This window comes from Homo sapiens, chromosome 22 (assembly GCF_000001405.40).
Source record: "Homo sapiens chromosome 22, GRCh38.p14 Primary Assembly".
Taxonomy (NCBI): Eukaryota; Metazoa; Chordata; class Mammalia; order Primates; family Hominidae; genus Homo; species Homo sapiens.
Window position 1 is genome coordinate 31,759,571 of NC_000022.11, and position 23,083 is coordinate 31,782,653.

Sequence of the window (23,083 nt, forward strand, 5' to 3'; positions counted from 1 at the left end):
ACCATGTTGGTCAGGCTGGTTTCGAACTCCTGACCTCGTGATCCGCCTGCCTTGGCCTCTTAAAGTGCTAGGATTACAGGCATGAGCTACCTTGCCGCGCCCAGCCTTTTTTTTTTTTTTTTTTTTTTAAGAGACAGAGTCTCGCTCTGTCACCCAGGCTGGAGTGCAGTGGTGCCACCTCGGCTCACTGCAACCTCTGCCTCCTGGGTTCAAGTGACTCTTCTGCCTCAGCCTGTCGAGTAGCTGGAACTACAGGTGTGGGCCACCACACCTGGCTAATTTTTGTATTTTTAATAGAGACAGGGTTTCGTCATGTTGGCCAGGCTGGTCTCGAACTCCTGACCTCAGGTGATCCACCTGCCTTGGCCTCCCAAAGTGTTGGGATTATAGGCATGAGCCACCGAGCCCAGCCTCTTTCTGGTTTTAAAGCTGAGATGACAACTGAAAGGTTCTGTAGCATTTGTCCATTTCCTTTAGTGCGTATGGAGTTTCTTTGTTTCTTTTTTTTTTTTTGTGAGACGGAGTCTTGCTCTGTCGCCCAGGCTGGAGTGCAGTGGCACAATCTTGGCTCACTGCAAGCTCCACCTCCCGGGTTCACGCCATTCTCCTGCCTCAGCCTCCCAAGTAGCTGGGACTACAGGCGCCCACCACTATGCCCGGCTAATTTTTTTGTATTTTTAGGAGAGACGGGGTTTCACTGTGTTAGCCAGGATGGTCTCGATCTCCTGACCTCATGATCCGCCCGTCTCGGCCTCCCAAAGTGCTGGGATTACAGGCATGAGCCACCACACCCGGCCTAATTTTTTCTATTTTTTAGTAGAGAAGGGGTTTCACCGTGTTAGCCAGGATGGTCTCGATCTCCTGACCTCGTGGTCCACCTGCCTCGGCCTCCCAAAGTGCTGGGATTACAGGCGTGAGCCACCGCACCTGGCCGAGTTTCTTTGTTTCTGAGGGAGCTTTCTCCCGTTGTTGTGCTGTAAGTCACAGAATGGCCAGAGTGACCTATTTGCCTTTTGTCGGGGATGAAGGTTGCTAGGGAGTTACTGTTCACGGTATCCCAACTCTCTTGTTGCTTTCTTTTTCAGCCCTCTGCTTTTGCAGGTCAAGTCTCTTAAGGAAGATTTACAGAAGGGTAAGAATTATATCACTCTTCTTAGAATTTTTTATTTACTGCCTCAGAAACTGTAAGAAATCTCTCTTCATAATTTCAAGGGATGAGGGCAAGTAATTCTCTTCTTTTTTAAACAAATTTTAATTTAACTTTCAATTCAGGCAGTACATGGGAATGTTTGTTACATGGGTATATTGTGTACTGGTGGGGATTGGGCTTCTATTGTATCCATTACACAGTGAACCTTGTATCTGACAGAACAGATACAGATAAAGAATGTTGTATCTGTGTCTTAACATTGTTTTTTTTTTTTTTTCTGAGACAGTGTCTTGTTCTGTCACCCAGGTTGGAGTGCAGTGGCGCGATCTCGGCTCACTGCAAGCTCCGCCTCCTGGGTTCACACCATTCTCCTCCCTCAGCCTCCCAAGTAGCTGGGACTACAGGCACCTGCCACCACGCCTGGCTAATTTTTTGTATTTTTAGTAGACACGAGGTTTCACCGTGTTAGCCAGGATGGTCTCAATCTCCTGACTTCATGATCCTCCTGCCTTGGCCCCCCAAAGTGCTGGGATTACAGGCGTGAGCCACCACACCCAGCCTGAACATTGTATTTTTCAACCTTCATTCTCTTCCCTGTCCTTGTTTTTGGAGTCCCAAGTGTCTATTATTTCCATCCCACTTATAGGTAAGAACATGCAGTATTTGGTTTTCTGTTTGTGAGTTAGTTCACTTAGGATAATGGTGGCCTCCAACTCCATCCATGTTGCTGCAGTGGACATGATTCCATTTTTTTATGACTGTAGTTCTCTTCTTATCAAACTATGTTGCCACTAAAAAAAAAATTGTAAAGTGACGCTTATAGTCCTAGCTACTCTGGAGGCTGAGGTGGAAGGATCATTGGGTCCCAAGAGTTTGAGGTTTCAATGAGCTATAACGGTGCCACCGCAGTCTAGCCTGGTCAACAGAGCAAGACCCTATCTCAAAAAAAAAAAAAAAAAAAAATAGGCCAGGCACGGTGGCTTATGCCTGTAATCCTGGGAGTTTGGGCGGCTGAGGCAGGCGGATTGCCTGAGCTCAGGAGTTTGCGACCAGCCTGGGCAAAACGGTGAAACCCTGTCTCTACTAAAATACAAAATATTAGCCGGGTGTGGTGGCATGCACCTATAATCCTAGCTACCCTGGAGGCCGAGGTAGGAGAATTACTTGAACCCGGGAGGCGGAGGTTGCAGTGAGCCGAGGTCACGCCACTGCACTCCAGCCTGGGCGACAGAGCGAGACTCCGGCTCAAAAAAAAAAAAAAAAAAAAAATACACAACCTGCCTGTTGCCCAGGTTGGTCTTGAACTCCTGGCCTCAAGTGGAGTTCCTGACACCTTGACCTCCCAAAGTGCTAAGATTGCAGGTGTGATCCACCACATCTGTCCCATTTTTTCACAAACTATTTGTTAAATGCCTACTCTGGGTGAGTAGGGATTGGGGAGGAAGAAATATATATTGATGATCGCCCACCACATTGTGCAAGGTACTATCCTGGGAGCTTTGTGTAATCTAGCATTATCTTCCCAACAACTCTTGAGTGAGTGAGGAAGTTTATTATCTGCCGGACTATACAGTCTAGGCGTAGCCAGAAGCAGTGATTCCTGCTTACTTATTCTGGATTCAAATCCTTTCTTTTTCCCTCTAATGGCTATGCCATGCTGTTCAAGGAACCAAAATGTTAATTGAAAGTAAATAAGATACTCTTTTAAATAGTTCTTAAGAGAAAAAAACAAAATTCTGGGTTGCTCTAAAGGGCTTTGATGGCTGGGTGCAGTGGCTGACGCCTGTAATCCCAACACTTTGGGAGGCTGAAGTAGGTGGATCACCTGAGGTCAGGAGTTTGAGACCAGCCTGACCAACATGGTAAAACCCCGTCTCTACTAAAAATATAAAATTAGCCAGGCATTGTGGCGCATGCCTGTAATCTCAGCTACTCGGGAAGCTGAGGCAGGAGAATTGCTTGAATCTGGGAGGCAGAAGTTGTGGTGAGCTGAGATCACGCCATTGCACTCCAGCCTGGGCAACAAGAACAAAACTCTGTCTCTAAATAAATAAATAAATAAAATAAAGGGCTTTGATGTCACCCACTCTTTCTTTTTTTTTAAAGAGATGGCGTCTCACTCTGTTGCCCAGGCTGGAGTCTGGAGTGCAGTCTCACAATCTTGGCTGACTGCAACCTGCGCCTCCTGGGTTCAAGTGATTCTCCTGCCTCAGCCTCCCAGGTAGTTAGGACTACAGGCGTGCACCACCATGCCTGGCTAATTTTTATATTTATATTTTTATTTTTTTGAGATGGAGTCTCACTCTGTCACCCAGGCTGGAACGCAATGACATGGTCTCAGCTCACTGCAACCTCCGCCTCCTGGATTCAAGGGATTCTCCTGCCTCAGCCTCCTCAGTAGCTGGGATTACAGGTGCACGCCACCACACCTGGCTAATTTTTGTATTTTTAGTGGAGACAGGGTTTCACTATGTTGTCCAGGCTAGTCTCGAACTGCTGACCTCGTGATCCGCCCTCCTCGGCCTCCCAAAGTGCTGGGATTACAGACATGAGCCACCATGCCCGGCCTAATTTTTATATATTTAGTAGAGATGGGGTTTCACCATGTTGGCCAGGCTGGTCTCAAATTCCTCACCCCAGGTGATCTGCCTGCCTCAACCTCCCAAAGTCCTGGGATTACAGGCGTGAGCCACTGCACCATTGCCCCTGCCTTTTTTTTTTTTCTTTTTCCCTTTCAGACAGGGCCTCTCTCTGTTGTCCAGACTGGAGTGCAGTGGTGCAGTCACGGCTCACTGCAGCCTCAACCTCCCTGGGTGCAAATGATTCTCCATCTCCCACCTCCGCCTCCCGAGTAGCTAAGACCCCAGACGCCCAGCCCACAGGATCATGCCTGGCTAATTTTTTTTTTTTTAATTTTTGCTCAGGCTGGTCTTGAACTCCTGGGCCCAAGCAGTCCTCATGCCTTGGCCTCCTAAAGTGCTAGGATTACAGGCATGAGTCACCATGCCTGGCTATCCACTCATATTTAACAATTCAATATTTCAATTTGAGGAGAAAACATTCTATAAAACCTGGCTACTCTGGTTACGCTGCCTATGGGTTATCCCTGCTCTGCAAGGAGCAGTAAAAAAAAAATTTAAAGTTTTCATTTTTATTGTTATGTTGTGTGGTGTTATGTTTTTTATGTTATGTTATGTTATGTTTGTTATGTTATGTTATGTTATTTTGAGATGGAGTATCCCTCTGTCGCCCAGGCTGGAGTGCAGTGGTGTGATTTTGGCTCACTGCAACTTCCACCTCCTAGGTTCAAGCAATTCTCCTGCCTCTGCCTCCTGAGTAGCTGGGACTACAGGTGCGCACCACGACACCTGGCTAAATTTTTTTTGTATTTTTAGTAGAGGCGGGGTTTCACCATGTTGGTCAGGCTGGTCTTGAACTCCTGACCTCATGATCTGCTGAGCCACCACATGCAGCCAATTTAAAGATTTTAAAAGAATTCTATAAAACCTTAATCCTAAGAATGGCCTTCATACCTTCCCCTTATCTCCTGCCCCATGTTACGTTTCTTACCAGACTTAAGGGCTCATTGAAAAATTTGTTTCTTCTTTACCACTGATAACTTCATTCCAAAGAGAAGATCTCCTTTCTCTTCTGGAGTTTTACAGGTCTTTGAACTTTCTTATCTTCCTTCTTATTTAATTTATTTATTTATTGAGACAGAGTCTCATTCTGTCACCCAGGTTGGAGTGCAGTGGTACGATCTCAGCTCGCTACAACCTCTGTCTCTGGGGTTCAAGCGATTTGTATGCCTCAGCCTCCCAAGTAGCTTGGATTACAGGCGCCCACCATCATGCCTGGCTAATTTTTGTGTTTTTAGTAGAGACAGGGTTTCACCATGTTGGCCAGGCTGGTCTCGAACTGCTGACCTCAGGTGATCTTCCTGCCTAGACCTCCCAAAGTGCTGAGATTACAGGTGTTAGCCACCATACCCAGCCTCTTCCTTCTTAAATTCTTTATTTTCCCTCCCTTCTCCCTTTTTCTCTCCATTTTTGTTGATTGCTTAGGCTCTGGTCTTATTTCACCTAAAAAGCAGAGAATTGTTTAAATTCTAAGCTCCTGAAAGGAAGAGACTGTGTGTTGCCCGTGTCAGATGATCAATTGTGTTGCTTACTGAGTTGAGTGTTTATAGATTAGAATATATGGATCTGCTTTTTCAAAATATGTTATCTGAGCCAGATATTGTTTCTGTTTTAGAAACTATCAGTGTGGACCAGACTGTGACTCAAGTGTTCCGGCTGAGACCTTATCAGGATGTCTATGTTAATGTCGTAGACCCTAAGGTATGTCTTTGTTTTGTACTTGAATATCTTTTTGGAATAAGCACCCTTCCTCAAGGTTAGATTACTAAGGAAACAATGGGTTACTTAAGTGTAGTGTTAGCCTATTAAATGTGTGGCCTGCTAGGTGTGGTAATTTCAGTACATCAGGAGGCTGAGACAGGAGGATCACTTGAGGCCAGGAGTTCAAGACCAGCCTGAGCAGCATAGTTAGACCTTGTCTTTATTAAAACTTTCCTTTTTCTTTTTTTTGAAATGGAGTATCACTGTTGCCCAGGCTGGAGTGCAGTGGCGTGATCTCGGCTCACTGCAACTGGTGCCTCCCAGGTTCAAGCCATTCTCCTGCCTCAGCCTCCTGAGTAGCTAGGATTACAGGCCTGCACCACCGCACCCAGCTAATTTTTGTATTTTTGTAGAGACAGGGTTTCACCATATTGGCCAGGCTGTTCTTGAACTCCTGACCTCAGGTGATCCACCTGCCTTGGCCTCCCAGAGTGCTGGGATTCCAGGTAGGAGCTACCGCGTCCTGCCTACTAAAACTTTTCTAAAAGATTAGCTGGGTGTGTTGTATATGCCTGTAGTTCCAACTACGTGAAAGGCTGCAACAGGAGGATTGCTTGTGCGCTATTGCACTTCAGCCTGGGCAACAGAACAAGACCTTGTCTTGTAAAACTAAACATGTAGACCATGGGTGGTGGCCCATGCCTGTAATCCCAGCACTTTGGGAGGCCAAGGCAGGCGGATGACTTGAGGTCAGGAGTTTGAGACCAGCCTGGGAAACATGGTGAAACCCTGTCTCTACTAAAAATACAGAACTTAGCTGGGTGTGGTGGCGCACCCCTGAAGTCCCATCTACTCGGGAGGCTGAGGCATGAGAGTCACTTGAGCCCAGGAGGCGGAGGCTGCAGTGAGTGAGCTGAGATCGTGCCACTGCACTCCAACCTGGGCAACAGCAATATCCTGTCTCAAAAAATAATAATAACTAAATAAATATGTAGCCTACATGTCATTTAGAATGTAGGCAGTATGTAGGTTGCATTTAAAACCCACCACCACTTTTCTTGAAGCTTGTCCTAACCATTTTCTGTATGTGAAACTATATGTAAAACTTTCTATTAAAATACTAACATTTTAAAATGTATTCTCATTTTTCTTCAAGAAGTGATGTTATAATAGATAAAAATTATTGTCCAGAAAGTACTATTGACATTAATAGGGAAATAAAGTACATAGGTAAGTGTCATGTTTGTGTGCCAGAATCCAGACTAAAATACAGAATGAGTCCCCCACTACCCATCACACTCAATGTGCTACAGCAGCTATAGGATCAGTTGTAGATTTACCAACTATACTGAAAAGTGTGCTTTTGCAGGATATAATTCTGTTCATCAGAGTTCTGCTACTGAATGGTCTTCCAGTAGTTTTCTTTTTTGCAATAAGTTTTTTTCCATGGTAAGTGGGCATTACCTTCTGACTATAAAGTGTGGCAAAGTAATGTCAGAGATATCATTTGATTATTCCTTTTAGGATGTGACCCTTGACCTAGTGGAATTAACTTTTAAGGATCAGTATATTGGCCGTGGGGATATGTGGCGACTAAAGAAAAGTTTGGTAAGATGTGATTTTTTTTGAAAGTCTGTTACTTTTTCCATTATGTGAATAATCCCTGTTTATTATGGGAGAAGAATATAAAATCGTTTCTGATTTTATATCAGCATCTACAGACAATTATTGTCAACGTCTTCTGTGTTCTTCCATTCTCTTTTCACTGTTCTTTTGATCTTTTGTTTACTGTTACAGATTTTTACTCAGCATTTTTGGTTTAGATAGGAAGTTATACTGTATTTTACATTGGAATAGAACCGTACTTTTCAGGTTTTCACTTTATCCCATTTGCTCCTCACATCTCCTCATGGACAGGTATTTATTATCCCTAATTTATAGAGGTAGAAACTGAGATTGAGAAGTTAGGTAATTGCCCAAGGCTAGATAGTAAGTTGACTCTTGGCCAAAACCCAGATCCTGTGGCTTCCAGATCACACTGCTTTTTGCTATACCCTCTTCCCGTTTTCCACATGTATTCATTGTTTTTTTTTTTTTCTGAGATGGAGTTTCGCTCTTTCCCCAAGCTGGAGTGAAATGGTGGGATCTTGGCTTACTGTAACCTCTGTCGTCTGGGTTCAAGCGATTCTCCTGCCTCAGCCTCCCAAGTAGCTGGAATTACAGGCACCCACCACCATGCCCGGCTAATTTTTTTTTGAGACGGAGTTTCTTGTTGCCCAGGCTGGAGTGCAATGGCGTGATCTCGGCTCACCACAACCTCGGCCTTCCTGGTTCAAGCGATTCTCCTGCCTCAGCCTCCGCAGTAGCTGGGATTACGGGCATGCACCACCGCACCTGGCTAATTTTGTGTTTTTAGTAGAGATGGGGTTTCTCCATGTTGGTCAGGTTGGTCTCGAACTCCAGACCTCAGGCAATCTGCCCGCCTCGGCCTCCCAAAGTGCTGGGATTACAGGCGTGAGCCACCGCTCCCAGCTTTTTTTTTGTATTTTTAGTAGAGGTGGGGGTTTCACCATGTTGGCCAGGCTGGTCTTGAACTCCTGACCTCAGGTGATCTGCCCACCTTGGCCTCCCAAAGTGCTAGGATTATAGGTGTGAGGCATCGTGCCCGGCCCATTTTTTAATTATTCATTTGTTTATTTTTTTTGAGACAGAGTCTCGCTCTGTCACCCAGGCTGGAGTGCAGTGGTGCGATTTCTGCTCACTGCAAGCTCTGCCTCCCGGGTTCACCCATTCTTCTGCCTCAGCCTCCCGAGTAGCTGGGATTACAGGCGCCCGCCACCACACCCGGCTAATTTTTTGTATTTTTAGTAGAGACAGGGTTTCACCACGTTAGCCAGGATGGTCTCGATCTCCTGACCTCGTGATCGTCCCATCTCGGCCTCCCAAAGTGCTGGGATTACAGGTGTGAGCCAGTGCACCCGGCCCCATTTTTTAAAAAAAAATATTTTTATTATATTTTAATTGTTTTTTTTTTTAATTTTTTTTTATTTCCGTGTTACTGGGGAACAGGTGGTGTTTGGTTATATGAGTAAGTTCTTTAATGGTGATTCGTGAGATTTTGATGCACCCATTACCCAAACAGTACACCACACCCACATTTATTAATTTTTTAATGAACATTTCAACTTGAAAAGATTAGTTCATCAGAATTATGAACTGGTTCTGAAAATTCTCATTTGAGGTTTTTTTTTCCATTTTGACACTAATCAAAAGAAATGAAGTTTTTGTATACTATGTAACCACAAATTATAGGTAGAATTTCCATACAGGGTATATTTTCAGGAAAAATCTGCTTAATTTTAATTTGTTGAGGGTTCCATTTTCTAAAGTGAGAGATAAAATGAGAAACAACACAATATTTAAATGAGTATGTAAATGCAGATATGTATGTAAACATATGTGAAGATGAGGATATTTGTAAAGCTGGTCATTTATCATCCACCTGGTCTTTGCTATTATCTATACTTGCCAAACTCTTTAAGCACCTACTGTCATACCTACCCTAACAGGTTTTCCTGTGGGTAAATCTATTACTCACAAGCTAGTTCAACTTTGGGTTGGTAGAAGAGATTAGAAAGCTAGGAGTTCTTGTTTGTGATTTTTCATGGCCTTAATATGTTAATCAATCTCTCTCTCTTTCTCACCCTCTCTCCCTCCCTCCCTCTCTCTACCCCTCTCTCCCCCTCCTCTTAGGTCAGCACATGTGCCTATATCACCCAGAAGGTGGAGTTTGCTGGCATCAGGTAGATATTACATCACTCTTGCCTTATCTGTGCAGTAACTGGGCTACATAAAGCAGTGGAGGCGTATGGATGTCCATATAATAAAATGTGTAAAAGTATAAAATGTTAGATTGTTGGCTGGCCACAGTGGCTCACGCCTGTAATCCTAGCACTTTGGGAGGCCAAGGTGGGCGGATCACGAGGTCAGGAGATCAGGACCATACTGGCTAACACGGTGAAACCCCGTCTCTACTAAAAATACAAAAAATTAGCTGGGCGTGGTGGCGGGCGCCTGTAGTCGCAGCTACTTGGGAGACTGAGGCAGGAGAATGGCGTGAACCCGGGAGGCGGAGCTTGCAGTGAGCCGAGATCACGCCACTGCCCTCCAGCCTGGACGACAGAGCAAAACTCCGTCTCAAAAAAAAAAAAAAAAAAGTTAGATTGTTGTAGCTCAAACAAACCACAAAATGCACTATAGTAGTTTGAGGCTTATTAATGGAAAAAGTTGATGAAGCCCCCTGGCATTCTGTAAAAAAGGAAGTAGAAAAAAAAAAGGAGATAGAGACTCGTAATTTTACAACTGGAAAAACCCTAGATGCACGTATTGAATCATACTTTCTCATTTTACAAATTAGGAAACAGGTTTAGAAACATAAAATGACTGGCACATTGGCTCCTGATTTGTTACCTTTTTAACTATATTGCTGTACTCTTGATTTATTAAAACTATTTCTATATTTTAGTTTGTGAAGAAAAAAGAGACTTTGTGAAATCCCCTTTAAATTCAAAAAGTGGCTGGGTGTGGTGGCTCACACTTGTAATCCCAACACTTTGGGATGCTGAGGTGGGTAGATTGTTGCTTGAGCCCAGGAGTTGAAGACCAGCCTGGGCAACATAGTGAGACCCCATTTCTACAAAAAAATACAAAAATTAGCTGGGTGTGGTGACACACGCCTGTAGTCCAGCTACCCGGGAGGCTGAGAGGTGGGAGGATCGCTTGAGCCTGGGAGGTAGAGGCTGCAGTGAGCTGGGATCACACCACTACACTCCAGCCTGGATGACAGAGCAAGACCCTGCCTCAAAAAAAAAATTCAGAAAGTATTTCAGGTGCGGTGGCTCACACCTGTAATCTCAGCACTTTGAGAGGCCAAGGTGGGCTGAGTGTGCTTGAGCCCCAGGAGTTCAAGACCAGCTTGGGCCACGTGACAAATAGTCTCTAAAAAAAAGAGAAAAAAAAAAAAAACAGCCAGGCATGGTGGTGTGCGACTGTAGTCCCAGCTACTCAGGAGGCTGAGGTGGGAGGATCGCCTGAGCCCTGGGAGGTTGGGGCTGCAGTGAGACATTATCATGCCACTGCACTGCAGCCTGGGTGACAGAGTGAGACTGTCTCAAAAAAAAAAAAAGTACAACATGCACATAATTAAGCATTCAAATAATTCAGAAAGGTATCTCATGAAATATACATTCCTCTCCCCAGAAACAACTTGTTTCTTTCCTGAAATTTACTGTGTACACACAATCATATTTATGTCTTGTTTTTTTGTTTTTTTTTTTCTGAGACAGAGTCTTGCTCTGTCACCCAGGCTGGAGTGCAGTGGTGGGACCTTGGCTGACTGCAGCCTCTACCTCCTGATTTCAAGCAATTATCCTGCCTCAGCCTCGTGAGTTGCTGGAATTACAGTTACCCACCACCACACGTAGCTAATTTTTTTTTTTTTTTTTTGTATTTTTAGTAGAGACGGAGTTTCACCATGTTGGTCAGGCTGGTCTCGAACTCCTGACCTCGTGATCTGCCCACCTTCGACTCCCAAAGTGCTGGGATTACAGGTGTGAGCTACCTCACCCGGCATATTTGTCTTGTTAACTGACTTGTGGTGATCCTAAGCTTGTTCAGTGGGGTCACAGGGTGCAGTGTAGTCCCTCGTTATAAAGATCCCCATCTACTTTTCTTTTTTTTTTTTTTTTTTGAGACAAAGTCTCACTCTGTCGCCCAGGCTGGAGTGCAGTGGTGTGATCTTGTCTCACTGCAACCTCTGCCTCCCAGGTTCAAGCAATTATTCTGCCTGGGCCTCCTGAACTACAGGCACGTGCCACCATGCCCGGCTAATTTTTGTATTTTCAGTGGAGATGGGGTTTCACCATGTTGGCCAGGCTGGTCTCAAACTCCTGATCTCAGGTGATCCCGCCTCCTCAGCCTCCCAAAGCACTGGGATTATAGGCGTTGAGCCACCGCACGCGGCCCCCATCAACTTTTCACCTAATGGTTTCATCCATTGAGGATTGTTGTAAGATGGTGATTTTCTTTCCTTTTTTTGGTGATTTTTTAATTAAGTCATCCCTTCTACATTTATTAGCCAGAATCCTTCTGTAAATAATTTTTCATCATCAACTAGGTCTATTTGACCAGAATGAAATACTGATCCTAAAAAGAAAGAAAGGATAGAGGCTTCATTTTTTCTCCCAAAAAGGGTATTTTGAAACTTGTTGTGGGGAGCCAGGTAAAATGGCTATGGCGTGAGGATCACTTGAGGCCAGGAGTTCAAACCAGCCTGGACAACATAGTAAGACCTCATCTCTACAGAAATAGTAATTTTTAAAAAATTGCTGGTTGGCTCACACCTGTAATCCCAGCACTTTGGGAGACTGAGGCAGGCAGATCACGAGATCAGGAGATCGAGACCATCCTGGGTAACATGGTGAAACCCCATCTCTACTAAAAATACAAAAATCAGCTGGGTGTGGTGGCCTGTGCCTGTAGTCCCAGCTACTCGGGAGGCTGAGGCAGGAGAATCGCTTGAACCAGGGAGTCAGAGGTTGCAGTGAGCCGAGATCACACCACTGCACTCTAGCCTGGTGACAGAGCAAGACTCCGTCACACACACACACACACACACACACACACACACACACACACACACACACACACACACACACACACAGTTAGGACTAGGTGCAGTGGCTCATGCCTCTAATCCCAGCACTTTGGAAGGCTGAGGTGGGTAGTTTGCTTGAGCCTGGGAGTTCAAGACCAACCTGGCAATATGCTGAAACCCCATCCCTACAAAAAAATACAAAAATTAGCTGGTCATGGTGGCGCTTGTAGTCCCAGTTACTTGGGAGGCTGAGGTGGAAGGATCACCTAAATCCAGGGAGGTTCAAGGCTGTAGTGAGCCTTGATCATTCTGCTGCCTTCTAGCCTGGGTGACAGAGTCAGACTCTGGCTAAAATAACAATAAAAAAAAGAACGGGGGTTGGTGTCAGGGCTCCTCTAGTTTGAGGTACTTGGGAAACAGGTTGGAGGAGCACTGAAGCACAGGTCGATGCTGCAGTGAGCTATTATTGCATTATTGTACTCCAGCCTGGGCAACAGAGTGAGATCCCATCTTTGAAAACAAACAAAAATTTGTTAGCGGGTCAGTGTTCTTTAAAACATCCAAGCAACTAAAGCACAACCCAAGAAGTGACTAAATCTCAAGCAGCACAAAAAATGTAACCAAGGTTTATGCCTCCAGTATCAGCAGATCTCTACTGGATGGGTATCCAGGGTCAGGAAGCCTGGATCTGTATCTGCAGAGCCAGTGTTTAGCCATCACTGTGATTAGTGGTTCGAGTGATGTTGGGTAACTTCGGTAAACCCTTAGTCTTCACATCTGCAAAATGGAGTAGTTGGTTTAGAATATTCTTCTGTCAAGGACCAGTTAATAAATATTTTAGACTTTGTGAGTAGCAATAGATCTCAGGTCTATTGCATATTCTGTGTGTTTCGACCATTTAAAAATGTAACAGCCATTCTTAGCTATGGGCCATATGAAAACAGGAGATAGGCGAGAATTGGCTTGAAGGCTGTATGTAGTTTGCCAGCCTCGGTTTGGAAACCTATTCAGATCTCTCTCATTTTTTTTTCTATTGCTTCCTCTTTTATTTTTAAATTATATATATATTATATATATTATTTCTGAGACAGAGTCTTTCTCTGTTGCCTAGGCTGGAGTGTAGTAGCATGATATCTCCCCACTGCAACCTCTGCCTCCTGGTTTCAAGTGATTCTCCTACCTCAGCCTCCTGAATAGCTGGGACTACAGGAATGCACCACTATGCCCAGCTAATTTTTGTTTTTTTAGTAGACACGGGGTCTTGCCATGTTGGCCAGGCTGGTGTCGAACTCCTGGCCTCAAGTGATCTGCACACGTTGGCCTCCAAAAGTGATGAGATTACAGATGTAAGTCACCACGCCTGGCTGATCTCTTTCTTTTTTAAGTTCTTTGTTTCTCTATGTAAATACCCTCATACACACAGTTCTAGATGGAGAAAAGAAAACCCTGACAGATTGTCACTTTTTAACTTTATTTTTATATATTTATTTCTGAGATGGGCTTCCTCTATCGCCCAGGCTGGAATGCAGTTGTGCCATCATGCCTCACTACAGCCTCAACCTCCTAGGCCCAAGCAATACTCCCACCTCAGCCTCCTGAGTAGCTAGGACTACAAGTGCGTGCCAGCATGCCTGGCTCTTTTTTTGTTTTTGTTTTTGTTTCATTATGGTAGAGACAGGGTCTCACTATGTTCCTCAGGCTGGTTTCCAACTCCTGGGCTCAAACGATCCTCTTGGCTCAGCCCCCTAGAGTGCTGGGATTACAGGTATGAGCCACCGCAGCTGGCCTCTTTTAGACTTTTAAAGATCTGTCCTGATATTTTGCTCAGGCTTGGTTAAATGTAAACTACAGTCTTCTATCTTTTCTCCAGAAGACTTACAGTATTTCTACACTGGATCAAAGGTTACTTTCTTTTGCTGACTTCGTGAATGCCTGAGAAAAAAGATGCTGTGGGCCTCCTGTGAGAAAAATAAAGTATAGTCATTTGTATAGTTAAAGTCATTACAAATGGTCAAATAATTTCCCTGCAATTTAACTTTCAATCTGGTAATAGTTACATAGTTAAGAACACATGAGCCGGGTGTGGTGGCTCACGCCTATAATCCCAGCACTTTGGGAGGCCAAGGTGGGTGGATTACCTGAGGTCAGGGGTTCATGACCAGCCTGGCGAACATGGTGAAACCCTGTCTCTACTAAAAATACAAAATTAGCTGAGCATGATGGCAGGCTCCTGTAATCCCAGCTACTCGGGAGGCTGAGGCAGGAGAATTGCTTGAACCTGGGAGGCAGAGGTTGTGGTGAGCCGAGATCGTGCCATTGCACTCCACCCTGGGCAACAAGAACGAAACCCTGTCTCAAAAAAACAAAACAAAACAACAACAACAACAAAAAATATATATATAGTAGCAAAATCTTGTCTCCTGTTGACTAACATTTTGCTTTTAAAAAATAATGACCTTAAACCCTAGCCTGTTGGATCACATTGTAACTTTTTTTTTTTTTTTTGAGACGAGTCTCACTCTGTCACCTAGGCTGCAGTGCAGTGGCGTGATCTTGGCTCTGCAACCTCTGCCTCCCAGGCTCAAGCAATTCTCCTGCCTCAGCCTCTCAAGTAGCTGGGATCACAGGCACCCGCCACCATGCCTGGCTAATTTTGTGTTTTTAGTAGAGATGGGGTTTCACCATGTTTTTCAGGCTGGTCTTGAACTCCCGACCTCAGGTAATCTGCCTGCCTCGGCCTCCCAAAGTGATGGGATTACAGGCGTGAGCCACCACCTCCAGCCACACCAAGCTTGTTTTAGAGGTCCTGTGAATGTGGGGTTCTGACGATTATAAGCAGAGCTGGCTGGGTGCGGTGGCTCATGCCTGTAATCCCAGCACTTTGAGAGGCTTAAGTGGGCAGATTGCTTGAGTCTGGGAGTTCAAGACCAGCCTAGACAACATGGTGAAACCCCGTCTTTACTGAAAATACAAAAAAATTAGCTGGGTGTGGCTGCTTGTGCCTGTAGTTTCACCTACTTGGGAGTCTGAGGTGGGAGAATCGCTCAAGCCCAAGAATTTGAGGCCACCCTGGGCAACATAGCAAGATAGTAGATACGGGGTTTTACCACGTTGGCCAGGATGGTCTCGATCTCTTGACCTCGTGATCCACCCACCTCGGCCTCCCAAGGTGCTAGGATTACAGGCATGAGCCACCGTGCCTGACCTCCTTATTACAATATTAAAGAAATACAAGTCTCTTCTGAGGTCAGGCTTGTGACACTTGTTCATTCACAGACGTAACTGGGCAAAGGAGTATGAAAAAGCATCCCACTTGGTATAAGCCATGGGCCTGGTCCAGCCTTCTTCATTTTGGCATGGGGTAGACCCAGAGGGATTGATTGATTGTCCAGCATTTCCTAGGTAGCCTGAACTATGACTCATGGTACACAGCATTTTCCTGGCTTTTATCTGATTTTGTCTTCCTTCCTTTTTTTTTTTTGAGACAGAGTTTTACTCTTGTTGCCCAGGCTGGAGTGCAATGGTGCGATCTGAGCTCATTGCAACCTCTGCCTCCCAGGTTCAAGCAATTCTCCTGCCTCAGCCTCCCGAGTAGCTGGGATTACAGGCACCTGCCACCACGCCTGGCTAATTTTTGTGTTTTTAGTAAAGACAGGGTTTCACCATGTTGGCCAGGCTGGTGTCAAACTCCTGACTTCATGATCCACCCACCTCGGCCTCCCAAAGTGTTGGGATTACAGATGTGAGCCACTGCACCTGGCCTTTGTCTTCCTTTTTTATGAGGACTGATTGCTTAGGTGAGGCAGGTTGGGAGAAAGAGTGAAATTGGTAGAAGATAAGGGCTTGAGGTGGTTGGTTGAGGGATGATTGATTACACGGTGCTCAGCTAATAGCTACCACTTTCTCTCCAGGATAGCATTTTGTGTTAATACCTGCTGTAGTTCTAGTTCTTGCTAGTAAACTAATTGAGCACGCCCTATCCTCACACTGTCCTGAACAGTTTCCCCACATTATCTGGTTTAATTTGAAAACAGCTCTGTAGAAGGCTGGGCACAGTGGCTCACACCTGTAAACCCAGCAGTTTGGGAGGCCAAGGCGGGCGGATCACAAGGTCAGGAGTTCGAGACCAGCCTGGCCAACATGGTGAAACCTCATCTCTACTAAAAATATAAAAAATTAGCTGGGCATGGTGGCACGTGCCTGTAATCCCAGCTACTCGGGAGGCTGAGGCAGGAGAATCGCTTGAACCAGGGAGTCAGAGGTTGCAGTGAGCTGAGATCGCACCACTGCACTCCAGACTGGGCGACAGAGCGAGACTACATCTCAAAAAAAAAAAAAAAAAAAAGTGAAAGCAGCTCTGTAAGGCGTAGGCTTCATTGTCTCTTTTGTTTTGTTTGTTTTTTTGTTTTGTTTTTTGCAATAGTCTCACTCTGTTGCCCAGACTGGAGTGCAGTGGTGCGATCACAGCTCACTACAGCCTTGACCTGTGAGGCCCAAGCGATCCTCCTACCTCAGCCTCCTAGGTAGCTGGGACTACAGCATGTGCCACCATACCTGCCTAATTTTTTGTATTTTTTATAGCGACAGGGTCTCACTATGCTACCTAGGCTGGTCTCAAGCTCCTGGGCTCAAGCAATCTGCCAACCTTGGCCTTCCAAAGTGTTGTGATTATAGGTGTGAGTCACCGTGCCCGGCCCATTGTCTCATTTTTAAAGATAATGCCACTGAACCTCATGAATTTACTATGGCCATTCACGTAGTAAGTGTCACTCAGCTGGGATTCTTGCCTAGACCAGTTTCTCTTCAGGCCAGTCAAGTCTGAAAGCCATGCTTTACTTTTTCTACTGTACTATTCACTTTTTTTTTTTTTTTTTTTTTGAGGCTGAGTTGTGCTCTTGTTGCCCAGGCTGGAGTGCAATAACACGATCTTGGCTTACTGCAATCTCTGCCTCCGGGGTTCAAGTGATTCTGCCTCAGCTTCCTGAGAAGCTGAGATTATAGGTACCCACCACCATGCCCATTTAATTTTTTGTATTTTTAGTAGAGAGGGGGTTTCACCATATTGGCCAGGCTGGTCTTGAACTCCTGACCTCAGGTGATCCACCTGCCTTGGCCTCCCAAAGTGCTGGGATTACAGGCATGAGCCACTGCACCCATTCTCGTACTATCTACTTCTTGCCCTCAAAAATGCATGGAGGAAAAAACATCATTCCCAAAAATGTAATACCAAGTTGCTATTAGTTAATTATTATTATTTTTTTTTTTGAGACAGAGTCTCGCTCTGTTGCCCAGGCTGGAGTGCAGTGGTGCGATCTCGGCTCACTGAAACCTCCGCCTCCTGGGTTCAAACGGTTCTCCTGCCTAAGCCTCCCTAAGTAGCTGGGTCTATAGGTGCCACCATGCCCAGCTAATTTTTGTATTTTTAGTAGGGATGGGGTTTCGCTGTGTTGGCCAGGGTGGTCTCGAACTCCTGACCTCAGGTGATTCACCCGCCTCAGCCTCTCAACGTGTTGGGATTATAGGCATGAACCACTGCACCTGGCCCTAAGTTTTTTTTTTTTTTTTGAGACAGTCTCGCTCTGTCGCCCAGGCTGGAGTGCAGTGGCACGATCTCAGCTCACTGCAACTTCCACCTCCTGGGTTCAAGTGATTCTCCTGCCTCAGCGTCCTGAGTAGCTGAGATTACAGGCGCATGCCACCACGCCCAGCTAATTTTTTTTTTTTTTAGTAGAGACATCATTTCACCATGTTGGTCAGGCTGATCTCGAACTCCTGACCTCGTGATCTGCCCTCCGTGGCCTCCCAAAGTGCTGGGATTACAGGCGTGAGCCACCATGCCTGGCCAAGAAGCCCTTCTTTAGACCTATATGTGGACTCCCAGATTAAGAGCCCCTGTTCATATTCAGTATAGTATGAGAGTTCTTTATATTGGATAATCTGTTCACGGAGTTCTCTGGAAATCTGTAACCAGTTAGGTCATTTGAGTATAAGTAGCAGAGCCACCTGAAGTTGCCCCTATTTCTTTTTGGTTTGTTTTATTTTTATTTTTTGAGACGGAATCTCACTCTGTTGCCTAGGATGGAGTGCAGTGGCATGATGTTGGCTCACTACAACCTCTGCCTCGTGACTTCAAGCAGTTCTCCTGCCTTAGCCTCCTGAGTAGCTGGGACTACAGGCATGTGTCACCATGCCCGGCTAAATTTTGGATTTTTAGTATAGATGGGGTTTCACCATGTTGTCCAGGCTGGTCTCGAAGTCCTGACCTCAGGTAATTCGCCCGCCTTGGCTTCCCAAAGTGCTGGGATTACAGGCGTGAGCTATTGCACCAGGCATGTATTGGTTTCATGTAAGACTTGTAATAACTTGTGTGTGTATTCTTTCAGAGCACAGGCTGGTGAACTGTGGGTTAAGAATGAGAAGGTCATGTGTGGCTACATCAGTGAAGATACCAGGGTAAGATTTATAAAATGCTTTTTTGGTTTTATCTCTCCATACTATTATGGCTAAGTCCTAAAATCAAAAATAAAACAAGGGCGGGGCAGGACACCAAGGTGGGCAGATTGCTTTATCCCAGGAGTTCAAGACAAGCCTGGGCAACATGGAGAGACCCACCTGTACAAAAATTAGCCAGGCATGGTGATGGGTACCTCTGGTCCCAGCTATTCAGGAAGCTGAGGTGGAAGAATTACCGGGATCCTAGGAGTTCGAAGCTGCAGTGGGTCATGATTGCATCACTGCACTCCAGCCTGGGCAACAGAGCAAGACCCCATCTCAAAAACAAACAAAAAACACAAACAAACAAAAATCTGCTAAGCTCTTGACAGCTACTCTTTGCCCACATGTAATATCAAGTTCTCCTGAAACTGTTTTACAGTTGGATTTCTCCAGTTTGGAGTTGATCTTCATTTTCTTCTGAAGGGGTCTGTTTAATGTCAAACAGAGAGCTAGAGTATCTGGCCTGCATTATGCCATGCCCACTCATACATAGCAAAAGTTAAGCCCCATGGAAGATCATGTCATAAACATGAAGAGAGACCTTTGCCAATGAACGTTACCCATGCTGGTAAAACTGTATGTCTACCTTTTCTCGTTCCCATCTCCATGCCTTCTCTGAGAGCAGTGGTTTTCAACCAGGGGTGATTTTGCTCCCTTCAGGGGTCTTTTGACAATGTCTAAAGACATATTTGGTTGTCACAACTGAGGGGTTGTGCCATTGGCATCTAGTGAGAATCCTGCTAAACATGCTACACGTCCAGAGCAGGCCTCCAGAGCAAAGAGTTATCTGGCCCAAAATGTTAATATGTTGTGGGGGTTGTCTTGTGCATTGTGGGATGGTTAGCAGCATCCCTGGCCTCTACTCACTAGATGCCAGTATCACCTACCACCCTTCACCCTACAAATCTACAAGTTATGACAGCCAGAAATTTCTCCAGACATGCCAAATGTCCTCTGAAAGGTAAAATCACCCTTGGTTGAGACCCAGTGTATCCTTAGAGGGAACCACTCCATGAACTTCATTTTTGTAATTTCCTATTGTTTACATTGGATGTATTTACATTGTTTGTAAATACATGTATGTTTGTGCGTGTGTGTATACACATGACCCAATTAATTGCCAGAGTGCTCACCATAATCGTGCCTTTGCTTTCCTGCAAAGGTGTCTGAAAAGTGAGACTTAGCTAGTTTATAAATGCTGGGGTGAAGAGTATTCCAGGCAAAGGAAACAATTTTCAGAAGTCAGTGTGGTGGAAGTATTGCAGACAGGTAGGGAGAATGATGTTGGTGAGGAGATAGGCAGGTTCCAGCCAGTTCATGCAGGGCCTTCAAGGTGGTTAGAACCAGTTTAGAGTGTTTCTAAGGAGAATTAGAATCCATTGATGGGTTTTAAGTGGGAGAGTGATACTTGAATTATGCTTTTAAGAGATCACTACTCATTCAGTTGTGTTTTGTTGAATAAAACCCTCCAAATCACCGGCTCTAATGGCCAAAGGTCAACTTTTCTCTGTCATGTAAAAGAAATCATGGATATGTAATTCATGGTTGGTACAATAGTGTCACTATTATTGGCGTCCTTGTGTCTTATTGTTCTGCTATCCTCAGGGTAGGAATTCCATGATCCACCAAGAGCTGATATAATCACCTCCATATTCCAGGCAGAGGAGAGAGGAAGGGAAGAGAGACAAGAGAGGTGTACCTTCCCACCAAGTCAACTTCCTTTATGGACACAACACTTCCATTTAAATCATGATGGCCAGATTTTAGTCACTTGTAGCTGCTGAGGAGGCTGGGAAGTTTTGTCTTTCAGTTGGGTCTCTTGCCTTCCAGAACAGAATCAGAAGAAGGGAAGAATGGATAGGCATTTAGCATTAAGTGCTGCAGCCCTTCTGGCTCTGGTATAGAGAGTTATTTCCAGGGTCAAGAGTAAAAGCAGATAAGTGAGTTAGGAGGCCCGCTATAGTCTAGCAAGAAAATGGTGGTGTGGACTAAGGTGAGAGCTATAACAATGGAAGGATGTGGGCAGGTATGAGACACATTTCTGGATAGGGTCCACAGAACTTGCTCATAGATTGGATGTGAGGAGTGAAGGAAAGAGAAGTACTGAAGAGCTAGGTAGATGGTGGTGCCATTTATGAGATGGGGAAGACAGGGAAGAAGCAGGTTGGGGAGATTAGGAAGCTCTGTTTGGGAAAAGTCTTTTGGATGCCTGAGTGGAGGAATCACTGGAGGCAGTTGAGTCTGGAGTTCTCGTAATCACTTCTCCCATGTGTTGTTCCCCACTGCCCCCCAGTGTCCTCGCCACGCAAACCACTCATTGTTCCCCAACATGCCACCTTCTCTCTTGCCACCATGTCTTCGCACATGCTGCCCTCTGTATCCTAGGGTGCCTAGACCCTGCCTTTCCCCTTCCCAAGCCACTCATCCAGGTCTCAGCTCTAGTCTCAGGATTCCCTGCTTCTGGAGAGCCTTCCTGGTCCACCAGGCTGGAAGTACCTCCATGGCACCCTGGATCTGTGCACTCATTAGCAGTTCCCACACTGCAGTAGGTGCGCTTGCTTGTGTGCCATGTCACTGGACTGTGTGCGCCCTCAGAGCAAGGACTGCATCTTTAACCTTTATATGCCACTGTTCTCTGGCATGTCTACTGGCACCTAGTAGTCTCTCAAATGTTGGTGGAGTGAAATATTAGATAGGCTCCCCTGCCTCAAGAATTCATCATCTGGGCCGGGCGCGGTGGCTCACGCCTGTAATCCCAGCACTTGGGAGGCCGAGGCAGGTGGTTCACCTGATGTCGGGAGTTTGAGACCAACCTGACCAATATGGAGAAACCCCGTCTCTACTAAACATACAAAATTAACTGGGCTTGGTGGTGCATGCCTGTAATCCCAGCTACTTGGGAGGCTGAGGCAAGAGAATCTCTTGAACCCGGGAGGCAGAGGTTGCGGTGAACCAAGATCGCGCCATTGCACTCCAGCCTGGGCAACAAGAGCGAAACTCGGTCTCAAAAACAAACAAACAAACAAAAAAAAAAAAACAAAGAATTTATTATCTGATTAGAGAAACAAGACTTTCAGGTTTTCCATTAAATTAATTATTTTTGAGATTGGGGTCTTGTGTTATTCAGGGGTCCTTCCTGGGCTCCAGCAGTCCTTTTCAGTATCTGGGATTATAGGCACATGCCACCACACCAATCAGAAAAACATGAGTTTATTTATTTATTTATTATTATTTTTTATTGAGATGGAGTCTCACTGTGTTGCCTAGGCTGGAGTGCAGTGGCGTGATCTCGGCTCACTACAACCTCCGCCCCCGGGGTTCAAGCGATTCTCTTGCCTCAGCCTCCTGAGTAGCTGGGACTACAGGCATTTGCCACCACACCTGGCTTTTTATATTTTTAGTAGAGATGGGGTTTCACCATGTTGCCCAGGCTGGTCTCGAACTCCTGACTTCAAGTGATCTGCCCACATCAGCCTCCCAAAATGTTGGGATTACAGGCATGAGCCACCACACCTGGCCAAAAAAATATTAAATAAGATGGAGCTGAACATGGTGGCTCACGCCTGTAATCCCAGGACTTTGAGAGGCCGAGGTGGGGGGGATTGCTTGAGCCCAGGAGATTGAGACCAGCCAGGGCAACAGAGGGAGACCCCATCTCTAAAAAGAAAAATTTAGCCAGGGGTAGTGGCCCACACCTATAATCTCAGCTACTTGGGAGGCTAAGGCAGGATGATCACTTGAGCCCAGGAGTTTGATGTTGCAGTGAGCTATGATGGTGCCACTGCACTCCTACCTGGGAGACAGAGTGAGACCTTGTCTCTATGAACAGACAGACAAAAACAACTTTAATTATTAAGAACCTTGCATATTTATTATGATAACATTTAGACAATATAGCCTATATTTCTGTTCATTTCTCTGAAAAAAATTTTTTTTTTTTTTTTTGAGGTGGAGTCTCACTCTGTTGCCCAGGCTGGAGTGCAGTGGTATGATCTTGGCTCACTGCATCCTCAGCCTCCCGGATTCAAGCGATTGTCCTGCCTCAGCCTCCCCAGTAGCTGGGATTATAGGCGCTCACCACCATGCCTGGCTAATTTTTGTATTTTAGTAGAGATGGGGTTTCACCATGTTGGCCAGGCTGGTCTCCAGTTCCTGACCTCAGGTGATCCACCTGCCTCAGCCTCCCAAAGTGCTGGGATTATGGGTGTCAGCCATCGTGCCCGGCCAGGAGCTTCAGTCTTTAAGGAGCAGGTCTCTGATGAACTAAAGGAGTGTTAAGAGATTTACATTTTACGTTCCCTCTAAACTTCTTTAGAGCCTTGTGGAGCAAAGGCTCTGTGGTATAGCACACAGGGCTAGAAAACCACTTTTGCTTTTCCTTGAGGCAGTCTGAGTGTAGTGGAAGTACAATGTGAATTATAATTTATTAGACTGGCAACTCAT

General features: G+C 45.5%; 1 protein-coding gene across 38 annotated transcripts in view; it reads left to right on the top strand.

The window, feature by feature from the left end:
• The window catches only part of DEPDC5 (DEP domain containing 5, GATOR1 subcomplex subunit), a 154,066-nt gene that overhangs the window by 5,603 nt on the left and 125,380 nt on the right, over positions 1-23,083 (top strand). For 36 of the 38 annotated variants that reach the window (NR_157126.2, NR_157125.2, NR_146296.2 and 33 more), the window contains exons 4-8: positions 1,086-1,132; positions 5,405-5,490; positions 7,015-7,098; positions 9,244-9,293; positions 18,529-18,598. Coding sequence is in view for 32 of the 38 variants with exons in the window: in NM_001364318.2 (NP_001351247.1) it covers positions 1,086-1,132; positions 5,405-5,490; positions 7,015-7,098; positions 9,244-9,293; positions 18,529-18,598 (337 nt within the window). In the remaining 6 variants the exon portion in view is untranslated. The remainder of the gene's footprint in view (positions 1-1,085; positions 1,133-5,404; positions 5,491-7,014; positions 7,099-9,243; positions 9,294-18,528; positions 18,599-23,083) is intronic. The other 2 variants (NM_001369902.1, NM_001369901.1) reach the window with 1 other exon arrangement.